This window comes from Homo sapiens, chromosome 1 (assembly GCF_000001405.40).
Source record: "Homo sapiens chromosome 1, GRCh38.p14 Primary Assembly".
Classification (NCBI taxonomy): domain Eukaryota; kingdom Metazoa; phylum Chordata; class Mammalia; order Primates; family Hominidae; genus Homo; species Homo sapiens.
The window spans coordinates 220,682,325-220,708,209 of record NC_000001.11 but is presented as its reverse complement, the minus strand read 5'-3'; the positions used below and the strand labels follow the sequence as shown (position 1 = coordinate 220,708,209).

Genomic DNA, 25,885 nt, shown 5'->3' with positions numbered 1-25,885 from the left:
TTCCTATCTTATCAGTACTATGGTTTGAATGTGTCCCCTCCAAAATTCAGGTGTTGCTAATGGGATGGTATTAAGAGTTGGGTCTTTCAAAATGTGATTGGGCCACGAGGGCTCCTCCCTCATGAATGGGATTAGGGCCCTTATAAAGGAGCTTGACAGAGAGTTCACCCCTCTTGCCCTTCTGCCTTTGTCCATGTGAGGGGACAGCCTTCCTTTCCTCCAGAGGACGCAGCAACAAGGCGCCATCTTGGAAGTAGAGAGCAGCCCTCAGCAGACACTGAACCTGCCAATGCCTTGACCTTGGAATTCCCAGCCTCCAGAACTGTGAGAAGATAACTTTATTCTTTATAAATTACTTTGTCTGTGGTATTCTATTACAGCAGCACACATGACTAAGACATCACAAGATCTCATTCACTCTTCAGCAGATGGACACAGAGCCCCTGCTCCATGCCAGGCATCGTTGAAGGCATGAGGATTCAGCAGCGAACAAACCTGTCCCTGCCCTCACAGAGGTGACATTCGAGTTGGGGGAGTGAACCTGCAAACAAGTGAGCAAACTGATGGAGAAGTAAGTACGGACAGGGCTGGTCATGAGCAGGGGGCTGTGAGGAAGTCACACCTTAGATGCGGTGGGGCTGGGGCTTAGGCGAGTTCGTCACTTTGCTTCAGTGTCCTCATCTGTGAGATGAACTAATGAGCGTCTCTCCCTTTAGGGCCCTGCCCTCCTCTGTTCAAAATCGTGCAGCAGTGCGTCATCCCACTCTGAGCAAGAGCCAAGTCTTCACACGGCCCATGAGGCCTGCGTGATGGCCCCATCCCCAGCTCCACGCCCCCCAACCCAGCTCCCTGTCCCTCTGCTCCTCCTGGGCATCCTGCTGTTCCTCAGTCAGGCCAGGCAACACATGGGACAAATGCCATCCACATCCGGACCACACCTAGGGCAGCCTGTGGACAGCCCCCAGAACTATAGCTGAGGGTCCCACCCTTCCCACCCACGCACACTTTCTGAACACTCTGCTCCAGGCAAAGGGTACCTGAGTGCAGCAGCAGGGCCGTTGGAGCAGCTTTCTCAGGGCTGTCAGCAGTGACCCAGGGAGACCTCCCTCACAGCCTACTTCCTTGTTCCTGAGCAGAGCTATCCAATGGAAGTACCCAGAGCCCACACACTCCCTACAGATTTTTATGTTGGACATAAAACAATGAACAGAGACTAATGTTGCCCTAGATGTACCAAGCCTCCTATAGAGATTTGTACTGTTTCCTTTCTTGCCTTCTTCTTTCCCTCCTTCCCTCTCCCAGCCAAACATGAAGCACCCACTATATGCAAACATCAGGCTGGGGCCAGTAGGGGAAACCATATCTGTGAACAGGTAATTCTCATACGCAGCAGAATAAGACAGGGGCTGAATATCGGGACACACATCGTGCTCCCCTGTCCAGAGGCTGATTCATTCCAGCTGCTGAGATCAGGGAAGGTTTCATTCAGGCGGGGCCCTTGCTTTGAGAGAGAAGCAGAATTTAAAGTGCAGAGTGGGGAGGCTGGGGTGAAGGCCGGGAGTGGCCTCTCCTGGCCAATCCTGACTGTTCTGCCACTGGGAACCTTGGTCAGGAGGGAGCCCAGGGCAGAGCGGATGGTGGGGTTGGGAAAAACAGCCGCAGGGCCAGCAAAACAACACAGATACCTATCCGAGATGGGGCAGAAGCGATTCCCATTGTTTTTGTTTCCTTTGTGGGGGGCAGCGTGAGAGGAGGCGGCAGGCCTGATATTGTCAGAGTGGCCTTGGGAGCTGCTTAAGAAGTCAAGAGGGAGCCCAATAGGAAATGGCCCTCATGAAATGAAAGACAATGATCCAAAAAAAACAAGAGGTGATTTTCTTAGAGGCAGGACAGGAGAAAACACCTCAGACTCAGCATGCCAGAGCAGGGAGGGATGAATGTACCATCTACTTCAACCGCACTGTTTTGCAGAAGATGCCCAGATTCAGCTAGGTGGGTGACTGGTTCGAGGTCACATGTGGCTGATTGCCTTGCTGACTCCCAGTATAGCGCTCAGGTTGCTTCCTGGGGCTGAGAACAGGCAGAAAGGAAAGCCCTAAATGCTTTCTTTCTCCCTGCCTCCTGTGTCAGCTGAGCATGGCTCCAAATTCCCAGCTAAGCAGGACAACTTGCCCAGGTGTCCGGGATGACCTCATGGCATAGCGCCTCAGCAGGGCCTTAAGAGGAGGAGGCTACTGCCCCACCGCTCCCTGGCCTTGGAGGTCAAGGTCTCCTGATAATTCCCTGCCAACTAGCATCCGTCGCTCTAAAGCCCAGGCTATCTAGGAGGGCTGGCTCCAGTCCCGACCAATCAGAAGAGCAAACAGGTTATTATCATTATTATTATGATAACAACAGATTATTTTATGCTTGCAGCAGAAGGCACCTGCTTTGTAAAGGCTTCTGTTTGCCAAGGTCAGTTCATGATTGAGGCACCCGCCACTGCCCTCTCCCTGCCAGCCCCTGGTCTCCCACTCCAGCCACACTGTCGCTTCTGAGTTTCTTTCACCTTTAGGGTCTTGCATCTGTAATTACCATTGCCTAAAACCCTCTTCCTCTCCCACCCTTCTGTACTTCCTCTGCCTGGGCATCACCTACTCATCCACAGGCCCCAGCTTGGATACCCCTTCCTTTTGAGAAGCCTTTCCAGGATGGGGTGAGGTGCCCTTCCTAAGGGCCCCCTCAACCCCTGCTTCTACATGCTCATCGTACTGGATTATAGTTGCCTGGAAGTGTGCAAGACAATACACACCAAGTTCTTTCTGTGGGTTTCACTATTGTGAGAATTCACTCACTCCATCCTGCTGATGGCTCTAGGAAGTGGTATTACCCCCATTTGTCAGTTGGGCAAACTCATCAGAGATGTTGAGCCTCTTGCCCAAGGTCACACCGTGAGTTGTGGAGTCAGATTCCACAGAGCCAGTGTGGTGGACAGATCAATATGCTACCCAGATCCTCCTTCGAGTGAGGATATTGTGCCACTTGCTGGGAGTGTTGTCAGCAGACAACTTTGCAGCGCAGAGCCCCTTCAAGGATTGCCGCAGCAACCCAGAGCTGCCTGGCCTCAAGGTATCTCTGTCCCAGGGCAACTCGTCCATCAGTTGATCAACGTCAGGTATAATTGTTACTGGAAAGAGGGGTTTTGGATTTTGTGCAGGAAGGAATTCAAGGCAAGCTGTGGGGTGGAGTGAAAGAAGCGAGTTTATTGAAGTGACTCCATTACAGAGTAAGGTGTCCTCAGAAAGCAAGCAGACGAATGTCTTTAAGTTTTTCTTATGTGGGGCCTTCCCTATGTCAACACTAAGCTAAGCTGTGCCTTATGTGTTTTTCTTATGTGGGACCTTCCCTGTGTCAACACTAAGCTAAGTTGTGCCTACGTCCAGGTGGGTTGATAGCCTGAGAAATTTTATTATTTTATTGATTTAAATAAAACTATCCTTAACATTTTAGTGTATTAATACATTCAAGTATAACTATCATTATCTTGAAAGCGTATATTGTTATGGGACGTCTGGACTTTCTGTTGTAGGAATTTGTCCTTGAAGGCATTATCAAGCTGTTTTCTTAGCTTTAAACATCTTAGGATGGGTCATGACTGGCAAGGAAAGTGTCTTGCTAGGCTAGTTTTAAGAGAGATTTTTAATTTTTTATTATTTATTTTGAGACAGTGATTCGCTCTTGTTGCCCAGGCTGGAGTGCAATGGCGCCATCTTGGCTCTTTGCTACTTCCGCCTCCCAGGTTCAAGCGATTCTCCTGCCTCAGCCTCCTGAGCAGCTGGTACTACAGGTGCGTGCCACCACCCCTGGCTAATTTTTTGTGTGTGTATTTTTAGTAGAGACAGGGATTCACCATGTTGGCCAGGCTGGTCTCGAACTCCTGACCTCAGGTAATCCACCTGCCTCAGCCTCCCAAAGTGCTGGAATTACAGGCATGAGCCGCCGCGCCCAGCCGACAGAGTTGATTTTAAAATGGTGTCACTCTGGCTCTCTGAGGCCCATGCTTCCCTAACATAATGGCCCGGCCATCCCATTGCAAGTCGGGTCAACCCTGAAGGGCCATTCTAGTTTCGGAGCTCCTGGTGGGGTGGGCTGAGGCCTTTGCTGGGTCTGCACTGCAGCTCAACTTCTCCCCCTGTCCAGTCCTGCTTCCTTCTCCTGTGGGGTTGATCAAGGCACTCCCGCTAGTCATCACCCTGTACATTAAACTCCAACCCTCAACAGAGAATCTGACACTAGGACTCACAGCCATAACGGCTCTCTCCCTTCTAACACCTCCCAGTGGAGCAGGCCCAGCATCTAGCATGAGGCCAGCACACAGCAGGGGCTCAACTGTGTTTGTTGAATAAGTGAATAAATACACAAATGAAAATACTTTGGGAGATTAAGGAAAGTGCATATTTGCCTTCCAGGTTGTCATAATAGCTATTATTAAGTATGTTGCCATCATATTTGCAATGAGCAGTGACAGCGACCCCTGTGCACCTCCTCAGGGCCCAGGGGTTTTCTCATTGATCCTCAAACTGCCTGTTTGTCCTGTGCACCCTTGTGCCTTGGGGAGCTAACAGGACTTCTTCCATCCCGTTACAGATAAGGTGAGTTTGGGTCTCCAGAAACAAGGCCATAGGCTGACCAGAAGGGGAAGTGAGTTCAGGGCAAAAATTGAGTCATTCCTTGTCAGGGGTGGCTGGAAGATACCAAAAGCTACACACAAACCCCTTCTTTCCCGCTGCCTTGAACCAGCCCAGCTCCATCCTCTTCAGCCCTCTCTCTCCTGCTGCTCCTGAGCCACAGCCCCCAACCCAGTTCCCCTGCAGCTCCTGCCGCTGGGTTTGCTTTCCAGCAAAGGGAAAGCTAGGTCTCCAATCTTTCTGGAAGGAGAGAAAAACACAAATGGTTGGGGAGAGAGGTTGTGTCCCTCCTTTCCTTTCCCTCTCACCCCTGCCTGTTTCCCTCCCTGCACTCTCCCCACCACCCTGCCCCACCCCTAGCTCTCAGACCTCTTTCCTTTCCTCCCACGGGTCAGAGGCAGCTGACTTTCAGCTAGGGGCAGTTGCAGAGGCAGAACACTTAATCTCCTACAGGTTGGGCTCTTAATACACTCCATAGTTAACCTTCCGAATAAGCCTCTGAAATAGATGCCATCTACTTTGCAAATGAAATTCAAAGTTGAAGAGCTTGTCTGAGGTCACACAGATACAGGATTAGAAGCCAGCTGGTCCAATGCCAATACTGTTCCTATTAGGTGGGGTGGCTTCCTGCTGCCCCTGGAGCTTTGAAAGGTGGCTTCTGGGCCCCTGGGGTGAAAAACGGAGGGTTGCATCATGAGAACAAAATTGCAGCCAGTGGGAATAGTTACTGCAGCTGCAGAAATCACGCCAAGGAAGTGTGGCAAAACTGCAAAGCAAATTCAACCCCATCGACTTGGGAATCACACAACCCTTCACATTCTTCCTTCTGTGTTTTGACCATGGCAAATCCCCAGCTAAACTATCTCAGCATCTCAAAAATCCAGAGTATAATTTCGGCACCTCAAGTCTTTATTGGAGTCTTGCTAACTATTTTGATTACATAAATGCAATGAGGAATACATGTTGGATATAATTACATCTAAAGCTTTCTCTTCCTTGTGGTCACTGGAGGTTAACAGGAGTGTGAGCCAAAGCAGCAAAGGTAAGAAGCCATGTTCCCTCAACTCTGCCTGCCAGCATAATTTCACGAAGCCCCTGACTGTGACAACATGCAACTCTCTGAAGGATGCACTGAAGACAAAATAGGATACAGCACAGGACACCCCCATATCTCTTGCCTGAGTCACTACATTCCTTAAAAGATAAATGATCATAGTCCTTGCTGTTTCCTACACATAACGTCCCCCAAACAAGCAATAATAGAAGATTATGGTTTGTTCCACAGTCACTTCACACTGTGCTGTAGAAGACCTCAAATGATCAGGAAACGTCCATCACCATATGTCTGGGTGGTGGAATTACCCGCGGTCAGTGGTTACACTTCTGTAATCTGGAGCTGATGTAATCTTGAACCCAAACTTTGATGTGATTTTGCAGCTACTTAACCTGCACCACCTGCGTATAAGCAATGGGCTGAAACACTGTGCTGGAGCAGCCTGACAGGACCTCTCTAAAGGGCTGCTCCTCGGCTTTAAGCCTCAATCTAGAAGATTTCTGAATAAAAGTGACTTTAATGCTTTAAAAGCTTGATTTTTTTTCCCTTCAGTTGACAGGAGCTTGAGAGGAAATGGAAATAAGAGGCAGCTGAAACTGACAGAAAGTGCATAGTCTTGGGTCCTGATTTCAGCACCTCCTGGCCAAAGCACCAGAGCCAAATTCCCTAACTTTCCTCAACTTCAGTTTTATTATCTATAAAACAGAGATAATCATAATATCTACCTCATCGACACTGTTATTGAGAATGAAATGGAGATAAAATGATGCTGAACCACCCAGCACAGTGCCTCGTGTACCTACCGAATGTTTATTTATTTTCATTTTTTTGAGACTGAGTTTCACTCTGTCGCCCAAGCTGGAGTGCAGTGGCACTATCTCGGCTCACTGCAACCTCCGCCTCCCAGGTTCAAGCGATTCTATGCCTCAGCCTCCCGCGTAGCTGGGATTATAGGCGCCTGCCCCCATGCCCGGCTAATTTTTATATTTTGAGTAGAGACAGGGTTTTACCATATTGGCCAGGCTGGTCTTGAACTCCTGACCTCAAGTGATCCGCCCGCCTCGGCCTCCCAAAGTGCTGGGATTACAGGCATGAGCCACTGCACCTCACCCCTACTGGATGTTTAATGCATCTTAGTTTGCAGTGATCATATATGTCCCAGAAGTGTGTCCAGGGGAAGCAGATGGGGTTCTATTCAGGGGCTTGTGGAATTCTATGAATGGCTCATTGCTTTATTAAAATGAAAACACTGAAAGACAAATTCAAGTCTGATTTTGTATACGAGAATGATGGCTGTGAAAATATTTCATAATTACATGCTTTTTTTCTCCTTGACTCTAAGAACTCAAAATGCAAAAATCATCATCCTTGCCAGAAAGCATCTCTGCTTCCGAGCTCTGTGACCATGGACATGATAATAATACCATGGAATTAAAGAGCAAGTGAAAGGAAGTGTGAACTCTTCAGCTCTATTTCTGTCTGGTCCTTTGGCTGGGATTTTTATGTCTGGTTTGAACCAGATGCATCTGTTCAGAGCCTTGTCAACAGGTTATGCAAGAGGCACTACCTGAGAAACACTTTTTTAAAAAGCAAAGCCCATCTTCAAGGTGCTTTATTCTAATCCTAGTTTGTGTCTTCAGATGAGGCTGAAGGGTAGAAAGCAGGAAGCATTTAGAGGCGGAGATTTGGCCTGAGGCTTCCAGCAATAAAGCCTTTGTTCTGCCTTCCTTGGCAGGGTGGCTGCTGCACTCACTAGGCTCAGGCACTGAGCCCTGTAGATCAGAAGTGATCTCCTTTTCCCTTGGCTATCCTTGGAGTGGTTTGGCTCAAAACCAACCTTGCCTCTAGGAAAAAAAAAATACATACCCTATATATTTTTTATTTTCCCACATTTCCCCATGAATGGTCAATGCAGTAGAGACTTTTTTTCACTCAAGAACCATCTGGGTTTTTGATAAAACCATGGAACCTCTCAAATATGTTTTTTCTGTGTGTTAATTACAAAATAAGCTTCTGGGGTGATCTATCAAATGTTCAAAAACATTCTGGAAGTGATGGCATCATTGAGTTTACTCAGTTCCTCTGTACTCCTGCAGTCAGGGGCTGGAAAAAGACCTCATGGGTGCAAACCCCCTAACCACAGCTGCCTAAATCTAACACTGCAATAACTGTTTCCTGAGGCCACAACTGTTTTCTGCTAAGGGAGACTACCATTCCTCAGAAGACTATTGGAGGGCGGAGGAGGTGGTCTGAGTTCAAGTCCTGCCTCTGGCTGCTTCTTGGTCACAGAGGCTGTCGGGACTTCTCTGGCATGACACAGGTGCTGGGCAGAGGGGCAGCAGAGATGACTCCAAGGTGGCTGAAGACACAGTGGTCCCTCTCTTCTGCTTTGCTGTAAGCCTAACAGCAGGTTGGGACCAGTGGGCCCTGATGGCTACCAGGACCACTCCTCTCCTCTCCACCTTCCGCACCTCCAAGACCTTCTCTATCACTTCTGTGAGGACTCAGTGAGCAGGCATACCACACGTACTCAGTGCAGGCCTGGAACCCGGCAGGGCCCCTCCTCTGGCCCAGCCTCCCACTTGGAGTCCCACTGGCAGATGCAACGTGCAGCAGGGCCCCAGGGGCCAGCATTTCCCAGCTGAGGCAGAGGAACAGCTGCATTGGAGTTTTCTCAGCACCCTGTGGGCAGTGCAGCTCCTGCCCCCCTGCTAGGCTCTCTAAATCTGAGCTGGAGGTTCTGGAATTTTTTTTTTTTTTTTTTTTTTTTTTTTTGAGACAGAGTCTCACTCTGTTGCCCATGCTGGAGTGCTGTAGTGCGATCTTGGCTCACTGTAACCTCTGCCTCCTGGGTTCAAGCAATTCTTCTGCCTCAGCCTCCCAAGTAGCTGAGATTACAGGAGTGCGTTATCACACCCAGCTAATTTTTTGTATTTTAGTAGAGATGGGGTTTCGCCATGTTGCCCAGGCTGGTCTCGAACTCCTGAGCTCAAGCAATCTGCCTGCCTCAGTGCTAGGATCATAGGCGTGAGCCACTGTGCCCGGCCCATTTTTCAACAAACTCATGAGCTGAGGCTCCTAGAAGGCAAAGCCTGTTCTGCTGGCTTAGAGAGAACTGTCCCCTTTAACACACATGCAGAGTTCCCAGGTGAATTGGGGTCTCTCCCTCCCCTGGGTCCTTGGGGAGCAGCTGTGGGCTCCTACTGGTTCCCAGGGAGGTCTCTCCCGACTGGTCATCACCTGCTGTGCCAGGCTCTCAGTGTGGCTGGACTCCAGGAATCTCCCTCAGGCAAGGCTAGAAAGTGAGGAGCTGGGAACCCTTCACACCAGAAACATTACATAAATCGAGGCTTTTATTTACATCATAGGACAAGAAAAGGATACAAAAGAAGTCTCTTGGTCAAGCACATCAAGCGAAAGCTCTAAAACTCAATACTCAGTAAGGTGTGGGCACTGATATTGAAAAAAAGAAAAAAAAAGAAAGAAAAGGTAAAAAGGTAATCTGTGACACAATCCAAATGCTTACACTCCAGGGATTGAGTAAGAGAAACCCAGGGCAGCCCTGCCACAGAGAATGACGGCTCAGGTTGAGTGACATCTGAGATTCATCTTCTGTACCCGTGAACCTGACTCCCAGGACAACCCCTAGGAGGTTTTGACTTTTGACATTAGTGAGTTAATTCTTAACCAGATTCTTAAGAATTTCAGGGCCAAACAGGCTTGAATGTACGGTTTTTCCAATTTGGGGGATGGGAGTGGGGAAGCTCTTCCTGGGACAGATTCCCAGGCAAGGAAAGGCCCCAGCAGCTCTGTCCCCTACCCTGGGCTCTGCCTCCATCTCCCCACGAGAAACTTGTGGGCTGCCTGGGGCTCGTCAGCAGCCTGCACAGGCTCTCACTCTCTTTCCCACTCACTATGCTTGGCTTTTTCTTCCACTTATGACTATCTCTCCCTTTCTCCAACACCCAGTGTTGTGGGGCAAGCTGTAATTATCTCACGTGTGTGAAAATGTGCCATATCCACTTTCATCATCTGGGCTAAAACCAGATCACTTGTTTCACTTTTCCTCACAAATATTAACAATGCAGGAATTGGGTCCCAGTGAATCTTCGACATGAAGTTGAAGCTTCAGGAAGTGAAGCAGAGTCTAGCTCCACAGCTTCAACCTTCTCCTCTACCCCTTCCTTTTTTCTGTCTGTCTTTCTGTCTGTCTTGGTAGGGCTTGATTAGAGAAGCATGAGCGTTGAGGCCTCCTTTGTATGCCTTGGGACAACAGGTAGGTGCTGTCACTGGTCCTGCAGACTGTTCAGCAACAGCCCCTTTGGATTTCTGGATATTCTGGAAACAAAGTCAGAACAGTGGCCTACTGGGGGGTTGGCAGAGGGGTATGGTAAGAGGACCTCCTTTCATCTCCCTGTTCAGCATCCGATGGCAGTCCACAGGTCATCCTTGGTGGGTGTCAGGCCCAAGACCCATGCCCACCTTACCCTTTGAATCCAGGTGAGATGAGATCAAACCAGGCAGCACAGAAGAAGACAGGATGCTACAAAGGCAGCCAATGAGCTCATGGCCTCAGGGGTTTTAAGCACCAGCCCTGGCTACCCAGCCTCCCTTGTCCCTACCTAGAGGCACAGGCCCAGCCTACCTGAACTCCCTCACACTGATGCTCCAGACCTGGCTCCTGGACAGCAAACTTCTCTCTTCCAATGTCCTCTTGCCTCATTTCCATTTCCTTCACATCTGTCTCCTACTTACTGGTTCCTTCTCTAAATCTGTATTTTCATTCCTGGGTGTTATGTCTCCCCCCATCTCTCTCAGCCCCTATGTCCCACCCAGGACAAAGCACTCTTAGTTGGACTGGCAGAGAGGAGCTGAGCCAATGGCGGGAGTGCGCTGATGGTGCTAGTAGCACCCTGACCACAGCCAGCCACACCTTTGCAGGGACTCTGGTCGCTGCAAACACGTGGCTGGGCCGAAGTGGGCAATGCCAGGCAGAAGAGCCCTCCAGAGTAGTCCCTTAGCCAACCTGTCCCAGCCACCCAGCCTGCATCTGAACTTGCCCTTCTTCCTCCTTCCTCGCCAGCTTCACAGTCATGCAGGGATGGGGTAAAATGACAAGGTTTTATCTACTTTAAACAGTCATGCCACACTGCCAACACAGTTTTCAAAGCATCAAGATATCTTTTCTTCCTTTCTTCTCCTCAAGCCTGTAATTAAACTCCTGGTGACAGAGTGGTAGAGGAAGGAGATCGGGGAGCATGACTTGAGGAATAAACAGCTCCTTAGCTGCCCTCAGAACCGAGGCAGCCAAGGAATGTGAGCGCCTGTCAGCCTACGACCTTTCAGGAGAATACAGCAAATCATCTGACTCTAGTAACATCCTCTTCCTCCCCCAAGATCACTGTTCTGCTGCACACCCACACTGCTTGCATCTGTTGAGTGTTGGCTTCCGCCCCAGTGCCTGCCACCTTCACGTGAAGGCTCTGGCTTTAGCACGCTAGCTCCACTCCCAAACCTAACCTCCGCCGAATTCTCTGCAGGATTGACCACTGGGTCCACGTGTGACTGAGAGATGTGAGAAGCTCAGCAGATGGGCAGGGATGACTCACTCATCATACTAATGTGATTCAACAAAGAAAGGCATGTTTTCTCTTCCAAATATGCTGTGTGTTCAAGTCTGAGATGCTCCAGGATTCACAAAGTTCCCACAGCAGGGGCTCCCGTTCACTCTGGGGGCACCTGCCACAGCAGCTCCCATTAGCGCACGAAGGATACCACGCTGGTGGCTACCGCAAACGGGGCGGAGTAGGCTGCAGCGAAGCCTTGCAGGCCGATGACCACGTAGCGGCATCCTTTGATGATGACCTTCCCGACATTCTAGTGTTAGGAATAAAAGAGAAAAGCAAAGGATTAGGGTAGGCAACTTTTTAATTCTGCCATCTTTCATGAAAAAAAATGAGTCACGGCGACATATATAAAGATCATTTTTCCTGATTCTCTTGTGACAAATCAGCAAGTTACCACATTCCCACATCTCTGGTGGAAGGTGCCCACCTCCAGCCTAAGAATATGTAGCGGCTCACAGCAGACATCATCACCTTGCAAAGTGCTTTCAAGCACAGCTTATTTCCAGATAATTCAAAGACCTTCTTGGAAACAGCAGTAAGGCTGCTAATTCTAAAACTAAAGCAGTTTTATTTTGTTTTTTAAACCAAAGATCACTCCTCTTCTCTGTTCCAGCTAAAAATTACTGGACCGTCAGAAGGCTGGGTTAAGTTTTCCTTCCTTCACCTTATCTGAAAGCCCATCTTCTCCTCCTTCTACCTCAATGGCATATTTCTGTCTGACCCACACATCTGTCCTTTTGTAGTCTTCTGCCATTTTCTAATTGCTATATCTATGTAAGTCCAGCATTTCCAATACCATTATAAGCTCCCTGATGGTCAGGCTTGGGCAATGCTTTCTTGGTAACCACTCCTCCTCTTCCTTTTCTACAAGGCTGGGTAGGGGACATTCAGGGAATGTCAGGTGCTAGACAGGGGACATCTAAAGGACTCAAATGTGATTGCAACAGAAAAATTACCACCACCACCACCAAACATTTATTGCACGGCTGCCCATGGTCTTCCCCTCCGTACCTCAACTTCTGTCATCACTCTTGGTGATATCAATGTCCATGCAGATAACCTGTGCCTTAGGCCACATACCTTGTCTCTCAGTCCTTTGACTTTTCCATATTACCATAACCACTCAGACTGGTTTAACTTAAAATTCCTGATCACAATCACATATCTCACCTTGACTTCCAACACCACCTGACAAACCTCCACATCTGTCCAGTAGGATGAATTTCTCTCTCCCCCGGGTACTGCCTCATACCTTTTCCCTTCTTAAGCCTCCCCACTTGCAACACACACGAACACACCCAAGTCTCCATACCTTCATGAGATGATCCCACTTCACCTTTCACAGAAAAAAAAAAAAAAAAAAAAAACCCAGACATCGTCAGGGAACACGTTCACCTTCCACCACTCTCAACAGCCCTGCCTGTGGCTGCCCCTGGCTTCTCCCGCATTGCCTGTGTTACGGTGGAGAAAGTGGTCTTCTTCCCCCAAGCCATTCCCTTGATACTTGGTGTCAGTGCCTTCTCCCACCTTGATCTTGGCTTTCCCTTCACCACCTCCATCATTCGCTTCCTCTCCATTGGATCCCATTAGCTTACATACATGCTCGGGTATCACCGTGACTCCATATCCTGCCCCAGTCTCTGCCCTCCATCGTGCCAAGCCAGCCAAAAGAGCCAACCACATATACTGCCTCCATGTCTGCGCTTCTTATTCCCTCTGACTCCGGCTCCTACCCCAACCCATGAGGGACTGTCTGGTCATGGCCATCTACAACCCCCATGCTGCCTGACCCAGTGGACGCTTTTCTGTCTTTCTCTCCCTGACCTCTCAGCAGCTTTTGACATACTTTATGAAATAATCATGTGGCGTCTTTGACTCCATATTCTTAGTTCTCCCCTACCTAAATAGGGAGCTCCTCCTCAGCTTTCTTTGCTAAATTATCCCTTCTACCAGACTTTAAAATGTTGGTGTTGTTCAATACTCAGTCCTGGGTCTTTCCTTCTCTCTTTCTTTCCCTACAGTCTCTCCTTAGATGGTCTCATCCATTTCTAATGACTACAAGTATCTCCTAGATTTGAAGAACTCTTTAGTTCAGACTCAAATATTCAATTCGTTACTTGAGATCTCCACTTTTTGAAGACCCCACAATTCCTCTGGCATGCACTCTCCCTTGTAGCCCTAAGCACATAAACCTAACGTGGATTGGCTACTGGCATGTCCCTGGTGGCCTTTGTCTATCAGACTTCAATCATTCAAAGCACAGAGAGATTACATCTGTCCACATGTATATATCTGGTTAGGGGCAGAGCTGAAGTTCAATCCCAAAGAAATCTCACTTCAGGGCCTATGACCTTAACCCCCATACTATGTTTCCCTTTTTAAATAAAGGCAATATGTAAGCTTCTAGTTAACCACTCATGCCCTGGGCTTGAATTCCAACTCTATCACTTACTTAATTTCCCATGGCCTCGGTTTCCTCACCTATACAATGGGAATATTTAGTAACCACCTCATTGGGTTGTTAAGAGGAGTAAATGAGATCATGTAAGCAAAGCACTGAGAACAGGGCCTGGCACAAACTGCAGGCAGTATAAGTGCCCCCCAATGTCAGCTATTATTACTGCTAAATAACATCTGCTTCTTTTGATTACATAGCAATTTAGGTTTGTGGTGGTGATAGATAAACCCAATATTTTTGTTGTCTGTTTGGGAAAGTTTCTTAAGACTATAATTTCCTATGACTTCTGGCTTACTTGAGCTTTTTTTTTTTTTTTTTTTTTTGAGACCGCGTTTTGCTCTTGTTGCCCAGTCTGGAGTGCAATGGCGCGATCTCAGCTCACTGCAACCTCCACCTCCCAGGTTCAAGCGATTCTCCTGCTGCAGCCTCCCAAGTAGCTGGGATTATAGGCATGCACCACCGCGCCAGGCTAATCTTTTTGTATTTTTAGTAGAGACAGGGTTCACCATGTTCGTCAGTCTGGTTTCCAGCTCCTGACCTCAGGTGATCCACCCGCCTCAGCCTCCCAAAGTGCTGGGATTACATGTGTGAGCCACCACACCCAGCTGAGCTTTCAATAGTTTAAATTACAGGGTCCCTCACAGTAACAGAAGGAGGGCAGGGACTCTGTTGTGCTCATTACTGTATCCTGAGCATGTAGAAAGAGGCTGAGTGTTTCCTTTGGTACCTCTCCCGCTAAATGAGGAGCTTTGCAAGAACCAAGTAATGTCTGTGTCTTCTCTAGACACTGCTTTCCTGGACATTACCCTGTTGATGTCTCAAAGAGACACTGGGCTGGGGCATGCGCATGTGTGGGTATGTGATGTTGCTAAGAGATACAGTTCTTTAAATGTGTGATAAGAATCACTGGGGGAATTTTACTTACATGTTTGAAACAACAAAAGAAAAACATATTCTCTGGGAACAAGCTTAACAATCAAGAGTGATCCATTATAAACAAGATCAGAATGACAATCGCCTGCATTAAACGTGACATTTTTGGTATTTGTACATCCATTTTGCTCAGCCTGTTATACTTTAAAAGCTACTTGTCACTTTGTAATTTAGGGAAAAAAAATCTACTAAAATAGTTCATTAACTGGAACACTGTTAAAAACACAGATTTGAGAAATGAAATGCAAAGAAACATAAAATATCTCTCAACCACTATTTCAGTGTCATTTAAGAGAGTGCATTTGGAATTCTTTGATCTGAGTAGAGCTTTCTACCCAACTACTCTCTCAGAGGGGAGCTGGGGTCTCGGGGAACAAAGAGGGGTCACCTGCTTTATATCTCCATGTTTGAGCCTGGTGACCCTCTCAGGTGGCTCCAAGAAAGTAGAAGCTGAAGTCACTTTTGAAGGGCAGAAAGGAGAGATCCAACCCTAACCTGACGACATCCTCTCACCTGGCCTCCTGGGTCCATTGAACTAGCGTGCAACACTCTAGAGCTTTCATGCCCACAGCTGGGCTTGTGATGGCCCCTCTACCTGAGATGACACCACTTCTCTATCCACTGAAATCTTGTTTTTTTTGTTTGTTTTAGTTAAGGCAAAATTCACATAACATAAAATTCACCATTTTAAAGTGCGTACAGCCCGGTGGCATTTAGTACATTTACATTGTTGTGCAACCACCACTTCTATCTAGTTCCAAAACATTTTCATCATCCCCAGGAAAAAACACATTACCCATTAAGCAGATGGGCTCCATTCCTCTTTCCCGCAGTCCCTGGCAACCACCAATCTGTGTTCCATCTCCATGGGTTGACCTATCCTAAGCATTCCATACAAATGGAATCATACGCACAATATGTGATCTTGCGGGTCTTGTTTACTTCACTTAGCATAATATTTTTAGAGGTTCATCATATTGTAGCATGGATTAGTACATTTCCTTCCTTTTATGGCTGAATACTATTCCATTGTATGTATATAACACACTTGTTTATGCATTCATCCATTTAGGGACATTTGGGTTGTTTCCACCTTTTGACTATTGTAAATAATAATTCCATTAAAATGTGTATATAAACATTGATTTGAGTACCTGTTTTCAATTCTTTGGTTACATCCCTAGGAGTGGAACTGCTAGATCACAGAATAAGTCTACACTGAACTTTTTAAGGAACTCCCAAATTGTTTTCCACAGCAGCTGTCCCATTTTACATTCCCACCAGCAATGTACAATGGTTCCAATTTCTCTACATTCTCGCCAACATTTGTTATTCGGTTTGTTTGGACATTTTTTGGAGTAGCCGTTCTAGTGGGGATGAAGTGTGCCTACTTCATACCACTTCACTGTTATCTGGTGAAATCTTAACTCATCCTTCTGTGCCCAGTTTTCATGTCACCGTGATTTGAAAACTTCCCTGAGTTTACAAGCTCACCGCTGAGGAGTGAACTGCCTGAGCTCTGTGCCCTGAAGCCCCCCCGGGGGCGGGGGGAGCCAGCTATGTCAGTGTCTCCCTGGGAGGCTGTGCCCTTCTCTAGGGCAGGGCTGCACTGTATTCATTTTCGCATCTCTACTGCTCAGCACAATGCCTGACGCATAATGAGTGCCCCCAAAATATCTTCAAGTCCTAGTCCTTGAGCTGAGGTTTCTGCAGTATCAGTTCACCAATGGAGAGGGACATGATGGCTTCTTTGTGCTCAACTGGGACCCAAAGCAGAGATGAATCGTCCTAGCAGGGCTCTAAGCCTGAAAGACCCAACTTTATAGTTTTACCCCTGCCTGTATTCTGCTCCAGAAGCTGCTGACATACCTTTAAAGAGGATGATAAACCTAAGCTCCCAGGCATGGAGACTGAATGGCTTCAGGTGTAAGACGGCATTGGGCAACACAGATAAATAGACAATAAATCAGATGGGGCCCGTGGCCTTTGGCCAGGACACAGTAACTTCTGTGACTTTATTCTGGGTGGCCTTGTCCAGGCCAGCAGAGCTTCCGGCAGCAGCTTCGACTGTTTCCATGCAGAGACACCTGGGAACTGCATCTGCGCTTTGATTTCCGCGAAGGAAACTGTCATTTTCTCCCATATTCATTCTTCCTAACCCCATCTCCCCGAGACAAACGGCAGAATGTTTTGAAGGCCCCAGAGTACACTGATAGTTGGCTAGACGAGAAAAATTCAACGAGCGCCTATTTATGTATTTGTTGCGCTCCCAGGCTCGGGAAATAACCTTGGGAATATTTGGGAGAGTAACCCAAACATTTCTCAACTAGTGGGATATCCTGGAGGGGATGTTACTGGAAAACAAATACACTGGGTTGCAATTTCTTTCTTTCCAACTGGGCCACCTTCTCCAAGTCACCTGCCGCGCTAACGCTTCAGTATTCCCATCTGTAATCAGGAAACTGATTCCTGATCTTACATAAAAACCACCGCGGTAGGAGCCCCTTGAGAATGTTCTTAAGAAGCCAGGAGCGCAATAGCAGGCACAGCAGGGACCACCCAGCGCAACCCCCGATTTAAGTTTCTATCACGACTCGCAACTCGCGGCTTCCCTCCGGCGAGGGAATGGGAGCGGGGGCGGAGGGGTCGCAGGTGCAGCCCGGAGAAACTGGGTGAGTCGATGGTAAGGACCCGGCTCCCGCTCCCCCGCGGGACACCACACCCGCGCCCCCCGGGCAGTGGTGGCGCAGGGCCCCTACCTTGCCGTACTTCTTCAGCTTCCTCCGGTACCTCTTCCTGGGCTGCTCGCTCGGCGCCGGCTCCTCCAGTGGCTCGTAGCGCTCGGGCAGGAGGGCGAAGTGCACCCTCCGCGCGCCCCGGGTCCCCGGGCCCCGCTCGTCCGCCGCGCTCGTCCCGCTCTCGGCCGCCGCCTCCGCCTCGTCCGCGTACTCCAGGTGCTCCAGGATGGCGGCCGCCTCCTCGTCCCCCTCGGTTCGCCCTCGCCCTCGGGGCCCGCGGCGCAGGAGGCTGCTCTCCGCCTTGCTTCGGAGCCTGGCTCCCACCGTCATGATGTCCCGGCCCCTCTGGCGAAGGTCCGAGCGCAAAGACACCAACCTTTGGTCCCCGCCCGCTCCTCCGCCCCAGCCCGGACGGGGCGGGGGATTGGGGGGGCCGCAGCGCCCCCTGGCCGTGGGGCCCGGGATAGCGTTGGCTCCGCTCCGAACTGGCCTACCAGGCGGCGGGCGCGCTCCGCCAGCCCCGCCCTTCATCCCACCTGCCGGCCAAACTGTGCAGACTACGGCGCGCACTGCACAATGAACATGCAAAACACCTTCAACTGCACTTGCTACGAAATTAATGACCCCAAATAATAGGACTCCATCTGCTCATGTTCAAATTAGCAACGATGGAAAATGATACTAGAGATCACGCTCAGTGCTAGGGAGGGCATGGCGAGATAGTCACGGTAACAGGATTCGTGGGAGTGCAAATTGGTGGCAAGGTTTTGGAGAGACGATCAGAAAATCTTTATCGTGAGTCTTAGGAAACGTCCGTATTCTAGGAAATATTCGGAAACGCAAGACAGTGTGTCCACGGTGTTCAACGGTCTGACTCAGTGAAAAAGTGGAGCAAACCAACAGGGAGGCGCAAAGGAAATTCTGGTGCAGACATGCCAGCATATGGCGCAGTCTTTAAAATCATGATTTTCAGGAATATCTCTCTGTGAGATAAGCATTATCAGTGTACTGTGAATCTCAACAAGCTGAGAGTGCCCTATTTTCTTAAGTGGGTAAATGCCTTTGAATTCTGGCTAATGTAGAATTAAGGGCCGAAAGCAGTGGCTCACGCCTGTAATCCCAGCACTTTGAGAGGCCGGGAGGATAGCTTCAGCCCAGGAGTTGGGGAACAGCCTGGGCAACATAGTGAGACCTCCATCTCTAGAAAAAAAAAAAAAAATTAGCCAGGCGTAGGGGCGCACACCTGTGATCCCAGCTATTCAGGAGGATCGCTTGGGCCTGGGAGTTTGAGACTAGCCTGGGCAACACAGGGAGACCTCATCTCTAGAAATAGAAAAACAAATACAAAAGTTTACCTGTAGTCCCAGTGAGGTAGGGAGATCGCTTGATCCTGGAAGGTGGAGATTGCAGTGAGCTATGATTGTGCCACTGCGCTCCAAAGGGGTCGACAGAGTGAGATCCCATCTCAAAAAAATACTTAGGTATAAAATAACATAGATTGTTAGATACACTGATATTTTAACATTAAAGTTTGTGATTAAATTTAAGAATAACGTGTATATGTTGGTATAAGCACATACAATGTTTACGACAATTTAGTTCACTAGGATGCAAAAGAAATTAGTTTTGTGATTCCAACTTAAAATGTGAGCCAGCATGGTGACTTTCACCTGTAATCCCAGCAACTCCACAGGCTGTGGTGGGAGGATCCCTTGAGGCTAGGAGTTCTGAGCAACGTAGGCCCCATTTCTAAAAAAGTGAAAATGTGTGGCTCGGTGCGGTGACTCACACCTGTAATCCCAACACTTTGGGAGACCAAGGCGGTGGATCACCTGAGGTCAGGAGTTCGAGACCAGCCTGGCCAATATAGTGAAACCCTGTCTCTACTAAAAATACAAAAATTAGCCAGGCATGGTGGCGTGCTCCTGTAGTCTCAGCTATTCGGCAGGCTGAGGAGGAGAATCGCTTAAACCCAAGAGGCAGAGGTTGCAGTGAGCGGAGATCGTGCCACGGCACTCCAGCCTGGGCAACAGAGTGAGACTCTGTCTCAAAAAAAAAAAAAAAAGTAATCAGCTAATTGATTTACGCTTTTATTTAACTTATGTAATAAGGTAATAAGTAATGACTTATATTTAATCTTAAAAACATAGAGTCTTTATATGTAAAATAGTATATAAAATTTATGTACAATTCAATTTCAGGTGAAATGGGTATGAAAATGAATTTAACTTACTATATTTATAAGAATTACTTAGAGTTTTGTTATAGAATTGAAGTACTTGAAAAGAAAGTCAAATATTAAATTTGTAAAAGTTGCTTGAAATGTTTAGGAGAATTAACTAAACAGTAAAAGTGCCTCCTTACAGTAATTGTAAAATTTTATCGGGTGAGTAAATAGTTTAAAACAGTATGTAATTTGAATTTAAAAGGTTAAGAGAAAGTAGATTTGTAGATTTGTAATTTTGCTAAAGCAACTATTACTTTATAAACAAACAGAGACCCTTGTAGTCCCTTTTTTTTTTGTACAAAACCGACCTCAAAGAACCCTAGGCTGCTTATCAAATGGTGATATAGTTTGGTTCTATGTCCCCACCAAATTTCATGTTGAATTGTAATCCCCACTGTTGGAGGTGGGGCCTGGTGGGAGGTGATTGGATCATGAGGGTGGCCCTTCATGAATGACTTAGCACCATCCCCTCAGTGCTATCCTAGTAATAGTGAGTGAGTTATCGCGAGATCTGGTCGTTTAAAAGTGGGTGGTGTGCACCTCCCCCTTCTCTCTCTCATCTTCCTTCTTTGGCCATGTTTGCGTGTTTCCCCTTTACTTTCTGCCATGATTGTAAGTTTCCTGAGGCCTCCCCAGAAGCAGAAGCCATCATGCTTCCTGTATAGCCAGCAGAACTGTGAGCAAATTAACCCTCTTTTCTTTATAAATTACTGAGTCTCAGGTATTTCTTTATAGCAGTGCAAGAACGGACTAATACAAATAGAGACGAAGGTAGAACATCCATGGGCCTAAAATGTGTTTTTGTCAGTACAAAATACTGTTCAAATATCACAACAACATTTAGTTTGCCTTTAAAGGCAAAACACTAGAACAATTAAAAATTGATCTCCAGATTAAGTCTCTATAACCAGTGAACAAGCAGAATTTAAGGAGATGTAATCAGAAACTGTCTTTATGTTGCATTCCCTTGTCTCTCTACAAGTTATTCTGTTCAGAGAATGAGTCTCTTGCTCCTCGGTGAAAACTTAGGTAGTCTTGTAGGGTTTTTTGTTTGTTTGTTTGTTTGAGACAGAGTTTCACTCTTGTTGCCCAGGCTGGAGTGCAATGGTGCGATCTTGGCTCACGGCAATCTCCGCCTCCCAGGTTCAAGTGATACTCCTGCCTCAGCCTCCCGAGTAGCTGGGATTAGAGGCATGCGCCACCATGCCTGGCTAATTTTATATTTTCTAGTAGATACGGGGTTTCTCCATGTTGGTCAGGCTGGTCTCGAACTCCTGACCTCAAGTGATCCACCCGCCTAGGCCTCCCAAAGTGCTGGGATTACAGGCGTGAGCCACCACGCCCAGCAGTCCTGTAGTTTTTCTATTCACACAGAAGTAATAAGTCCCAACCTCTGTCTCAAAAAAAAAAATAAAATAAAAATAAACAAATAAATAACTAAACATAATCTTCATCTATATAATCCTAAATCGTATAATGTTCAATTCCATGTAATACTCAGAACCTTGAACTTGATTTAAAGTAAATCTTCTCTCCTCAGGCAGCACCTGATGTGGGTGTGTACCTGTGTGCAGTGGTGGTGAGAGAGTAGGGACTGGGGAGAAACAACAATTTCTCTTCTGCTTCCCCCACCTAGTGTTTCTCAGTCTCCCAAGCTTGTAAACTGGTTTCTGACTCTTCCAGGGCCAAAACAGAGAAGAGTGCAGAAAACATCTTCCATGGCTAGTATTGCCCAAGGTGTTGTCTCACCCACAAGGCCTACCAGGTGTTTGAAGCTGGTTGTCCATAGTTTTTTACAGGCCCTCACTGGAAACATTCTACTCTACTGGTTATGACCCAGCAAATACCCTTGAATCCCTGATCACCTATGCCCTTCTCAATCTCCAAGGGTCCTGTGGTTCCATGCCAATGCTATGGTCTGAATGTCTGTGTCCCCCCTTCAACCCCCAAATTCATGTGTTAAATTTCTAACCCCAAGTTGATGGTATTGGGCATGGGAGGCCTCTGGGAGGTGATTAGGTCATGAAATGTAGCCCTCATGGGACTAATGTCCTTATAAAAAGAGGCCCAAGAGAGAAACCCCTCACCCCTTCTGCCTTATGAGGACGCAGCAAGAGATAGAATCAGCTGGCACCTTGATCTTGGACTTGCCAACCTCCAGAACTCTGAGAAGTAAGTTTCTGTTGTTTACAAGTTACCCAGTTTATGATGTTTTTTATAGTGGCCTGAACGGACTATGACAACTGGTTTTCCTATCCTGAGCCTTTAAGATGGCCATGTGGATACAGGATTTGATATACGGACTTCAGTGCTTCCACATTTCACAAAGGGCTAGAATAGCAAGCTCTAGGCTGGGCCATCTCCAGTGTAACTCCTAGAATGACCACTGAGCTGTTACTTGTGCTGTAGTGAGGAAGCTGGGCACCAGGAGGCTGCCACTGGACCTGGTGGCTGTAAGGACATTAGCACCTCAGCTGCCACCTAGCAAGCTCCCAAATCCCGACAGTTAGCTACAGTCCCAGCCTTGCCTGTGTGTTAGTCAGCTAGAGCTGCCATAACAAAATACTGCAGTCTGGTGGCTTAAACAACAGAAATTTATTTTTCAGAATTCTGGAGGCTGGAAGTCTGAGTACAAGGTGTCCGTGGGTTTGGTTTCTCCTCAGGCCTCTCTCTCTGGCTTGCAGATGGCCACCTTCTTTCTGTCCTCACATCACCTTTGTTCTGTGCATGCACATCCCTGGTCCTTCCTCTTTTTAGAAGGACACCCGTCTTATTGGATTAGAGCCCCACCCTTATTACCTCATTCAACCTTTTTTTAAAAAATTTTTTAATTTGAGACAGGGTCTGGAGTGCAGTGGTGTGATCTCAGCTCACTGCAGCCTCGGTCTCCTGGGCTCAAGCCATCCTCCCACCTCAGCCTCCCAAGCAGCTGGGACTACAGGCCTGAGCCACCATGCCCAGCTAATTTTTTTGTAGATTTTATAGAGACTGGGTTTCACTATGTTGCCCAGGCTTGTCTTGAACTGGGCTCAAGCAATTCACTGCCTTGGCCTCCCAAAGTGCTGGGATTACAAGTGTGAACCACCACACCCAGGCTCATTCAACCTTCACGACCTCTTTCAAGGCCCTATCTTCAAATACAATCACATCTAAGGTACTGGAGGTTAGAGTTTCAACCTATGAATTGGGAGGTTTGGGGCACAATTTAATCCATAACAGACTGCTGGTCTGCACTGGCAACACACAGGCACCCCCTCCCCTTTCTCTAAATACCCATGAGACTGAGGACCAGACGCTGGCATTCTGGCACAAAAAATCCCAACATCTGCAGGACTGCCCTTGTCAGCAGAAGCAGCATAAACAGTTGAAGCATGGCTTCCACCCTCTCTGCCTTCCAAAACTCTCGGGAGTGCACCTGATTAGTCTAAGCTAACTTGCTCAATTTCCTCCAGTACCCGAGGGACCCTGGAACATGATTTCACTTCCTAGACTCTGCACGCTGGAAGGAGGGTGAGAAGAATGCTGAGTGACAACCCACAACATTCACCTCTTGTAGGAATCTTTCTTTACTGATAAGAATTAGAAACTTGTTCTCCAAAGGAGCAAGTACATTGGAGAGCTAAGATTCATGAAAACACATCGTCAGTTATTGAGTTCAAAAATGTGTAGAGACCTCAGAAGCTTAAAAATAATTGCTTATTTGGAATGACTTGCATAGAAACAGCTATACATATTTAATTGAAAACCAAGTTTCCATTTGTAGACATAAGGACCTTATGTTTAACTCTTTACTCTTTCATTTTGTAATAAATGTGTGAATTTAGAGTAAGAGAATGTGGATAGACCTGAGACTGTATGAATTAAAGTTGTTTAAAACAATTAATTTATTTTTACAAGATAGATTTAGACTCAGGAAGAAGTACATCTTTGGCTGATAAGAACTGGTTATAAACCATGAACTAGATAGGAAAATATTTTTAATTTTCCAAAGATTGCAACTTAAAAGGAAGGTGGGGGGCATAGAGGTGGTGGTAGTGGCAGTCTTGTATACCAGCTAAGCCTCAGTTTTTGGTGCAGCCTAAAAAAAAAAAAAGGATGGTAAAAAATTATCTTTCCTTAGGTTAAAAAATTTATTTTTTTAAAGATCATTTTTTATTGGGGCCTTCCACATTAAATACCTTTTAGTTCAAAAAGTGATAAAAGTAGATGATGTAGTAGAAAAAGAAATTTAACATTTACATTTAAGTGTTTTTCTCCTCAAATACATATCTGTGGTAATCATGCAGGCCCCATAAAATGCACAGTTAGAAATCTCAGGCACAGCACTTTTTTTCTTTCTTTTTTTTTTTTGAGACAGATTTTCGCTCTTGTTGCCCAGGCTGGAGTGTAATGGCACAATCTCGGCTCACCGCAACCTCTGCCTCTCTGCCTCCCAGGTTCAAGTGATTCTCCTGCTTCAGCCTCCCTAGTAGCTGGGATTACAGGCATGCACCACCACACCTGGCTAATTTTGTATTTTTAGTAGAAACGGGGTTTCTCCATGTCGGTCAGGTTGGTCTTGAACTCCCGATCTCGGGTGATCCGCCCGCCGTGGCCTCCCAAAGTGCTGGGATTAGAGGCGTGAGCCACCGTGCCCGGCCAAGCACAGCACATTTTTATTTCATCTGAAGGGTTAGAGTTCTTACACTGAAGATAAAGGGCAAAGACTTGACATAAATACAATGTATCATGGAATTGCAGTTAAAGGGTATTTCAACTAGAATTTGCTACAAACATGAAACAAGGGTCTTCCATATATTGTTTCTTGTGGAATATGAAGAATTTTTAAAATTTAAGAGCAAGCCTTTTTGTTGCTGGTGGCTGTCCTGAGGGACTGACCATTAAAACCTACCAAGAGTTAGCTCAGCTGTGGTGGGGCTGGGCCGGAGCGCTAATCAGAGTGCATTCACCTCTGGCTAGCTCAAGCCTGGACCTTCTGGGCCATCATGGTCCAGGGCCCAAAGCCTTTGGTCTTGTGGGGCTTTCAGCTGGGAGGAGATGGAGTGCAGCGTAGGCGTTTGGGTTCACTTTTGGCTTCAACTTCAGGAGAGCCGAGGCACCAACCACTGTGCGGATGCACAAGCAAGCATGCAAGCTCTGCTTGGCAAGGCTTCCTCCCGCGGCTTTCTCAGCATAACTGCAGGAGTGAGGGTGGCATCACGGGGCTGTGTGATTTGTTTATTTTCTTATTTGGGGCTTTTGCAAATTCCAATCTGTCCTTCCAGCCCACACCGTAACTATTATAAAAGCATGGCTGGCGTCCGCTCACGCCAGAAGAGGCGCCTGAGTGCCAGGCTCACTTTTTCAGAAAAGAGCCCACTTTATGGAAAAAGCCCACTTTCCGCCCAGCCCTGCCCAGATCAGTGACTTGCCCAGGCGTGGAAACGGCTGCAGCTCGCTGCTCACCCGTGAAAGCCATGCCCTTCTCTGGAATCCCAGGCACCAAGGCTGTCTTGCACTCAACACTCTTTGATACCACAATATAATGCAATTTTAATTTGTGTGTGCACAGATTTACATCTGTGTTACCACCAGATTGAAAAGTCTTTTGAATCATTCTATATCAGAAGCAGAATCAGAAGTCTCCCCTGGATAAAGTTTTAAAGCATAATACCTAACATTTAAAAGAATTATTTAACAATGTAACGGAATTATGTCTTATTGGACTGTACATATCCAAAAGCCACTGAAGATTAAAAAAACGATGGAACTATCTGCCTTTAATAATATTGATAATAGAAAAATACATGTGTAGAGAATTCAGGTCAGAATTACAGCCTTATAAGTTAAAAGGACATTTCTGACAAAACCTGAAAACCCTGCATTGGTCTCTATCTCCCTTGCCAACAGTATGCCATTCTACTATATACATTTACATCCCTCTAGGTAGATTAAACTATCTTAATAATTACTACTATATTTAGAAAACAGCAACAAGGGGTCGGGCACGGTGGCTGATGCCTAGCGCTTTGAGAGACCGAGGCAGGCAGATCACCTGAGGTCAGGAATTCAAGGCCAGCCTGGCCAACATGGTGAAACCCCGTCTCTACTAGAAATACAAAAATTGGCCAGGCGTGGTGGCGTGTGCCTGTAATCCCAGCTACCTGGGAGGCTAAGGCAGGAGAATCGCTAAAACCCGAAA

General features: G+C 47.2%; 1 protein-coding gene across 1 annotated transcript, besides 3 other annotated features; it reads right to left on the bottom strand.

Moving 5' to 3' along the window:
- Positions 1-9,056: 9,056 nt before the first annotated feature.
- C1orf115 (chromosome 1 open reading frame 115) lies at positions 9,057-17,847 on the bottom strand. The gene is made up of 2 exons (NM_024709.5): positions 17,499-17,847; positions 9,057-11,598 (listed from the first exon to the last, which is right to left on the bottom strand). Exons 1-2 carry the CDS (start codon positions 17,805-17,807, stop codon positions 11,479-11,481), a joined length of 429 nt encoding a protein of 142 aa, NP_078985.3. The 5' UTR covers positions 17,808-17,847; the 3' UTR covers positions 9,057-11,478.
- Positions 10,606-11,805: an enhancer, noted in NCBI's record as "BRD4-independent group 4 enhancer chr1:220869747-220870946 (GRCh37/hg19 assembly coordinates)". NCBI's record gives its function as "activates an origin of replication core promoter dependent on BRD2, P300/CBP, MED14 and CDK7 cofactors, and independent of BRD4, by STARR-seq in HCT116 cells {active_cell/tissue: HCT116}" and the evidence as "EXISTENCE:reporter gene assay evidence [ECO:0000049][PMID:35650434]".
- Positions 17,777-18,016: a silencer, noted in NCBI's record as "silent region_1826". NCBI's record gives its function as "represses an Ori minimal core promoter by ATAC-STARR-seq in GM12878 lymphoblastoid cells {active_cell/tissue: GM12878}" and the evidence as "EXISTENCE:reporter gene assay evidence [ECO:0000049][PMID:35858748]".
- Positions 24,832-25,332: an enhancer, noted in NCBI's record as "H3K4me1 hESC enhancer chr1:220856220-220856720 (GRCh37/hg19 assembly coordinates)". NCBI's record gives its function as "activates a minimal SCP1, AML or CMV promoter by ChIP-STARR-seq in naive H9 embryonic stem cells {active_cell/tissue: H9 hESC(naive)}" and the evidence as "EXISTENCE:reporter gene assay evidence [ECO:0000049][PMID:30033119]".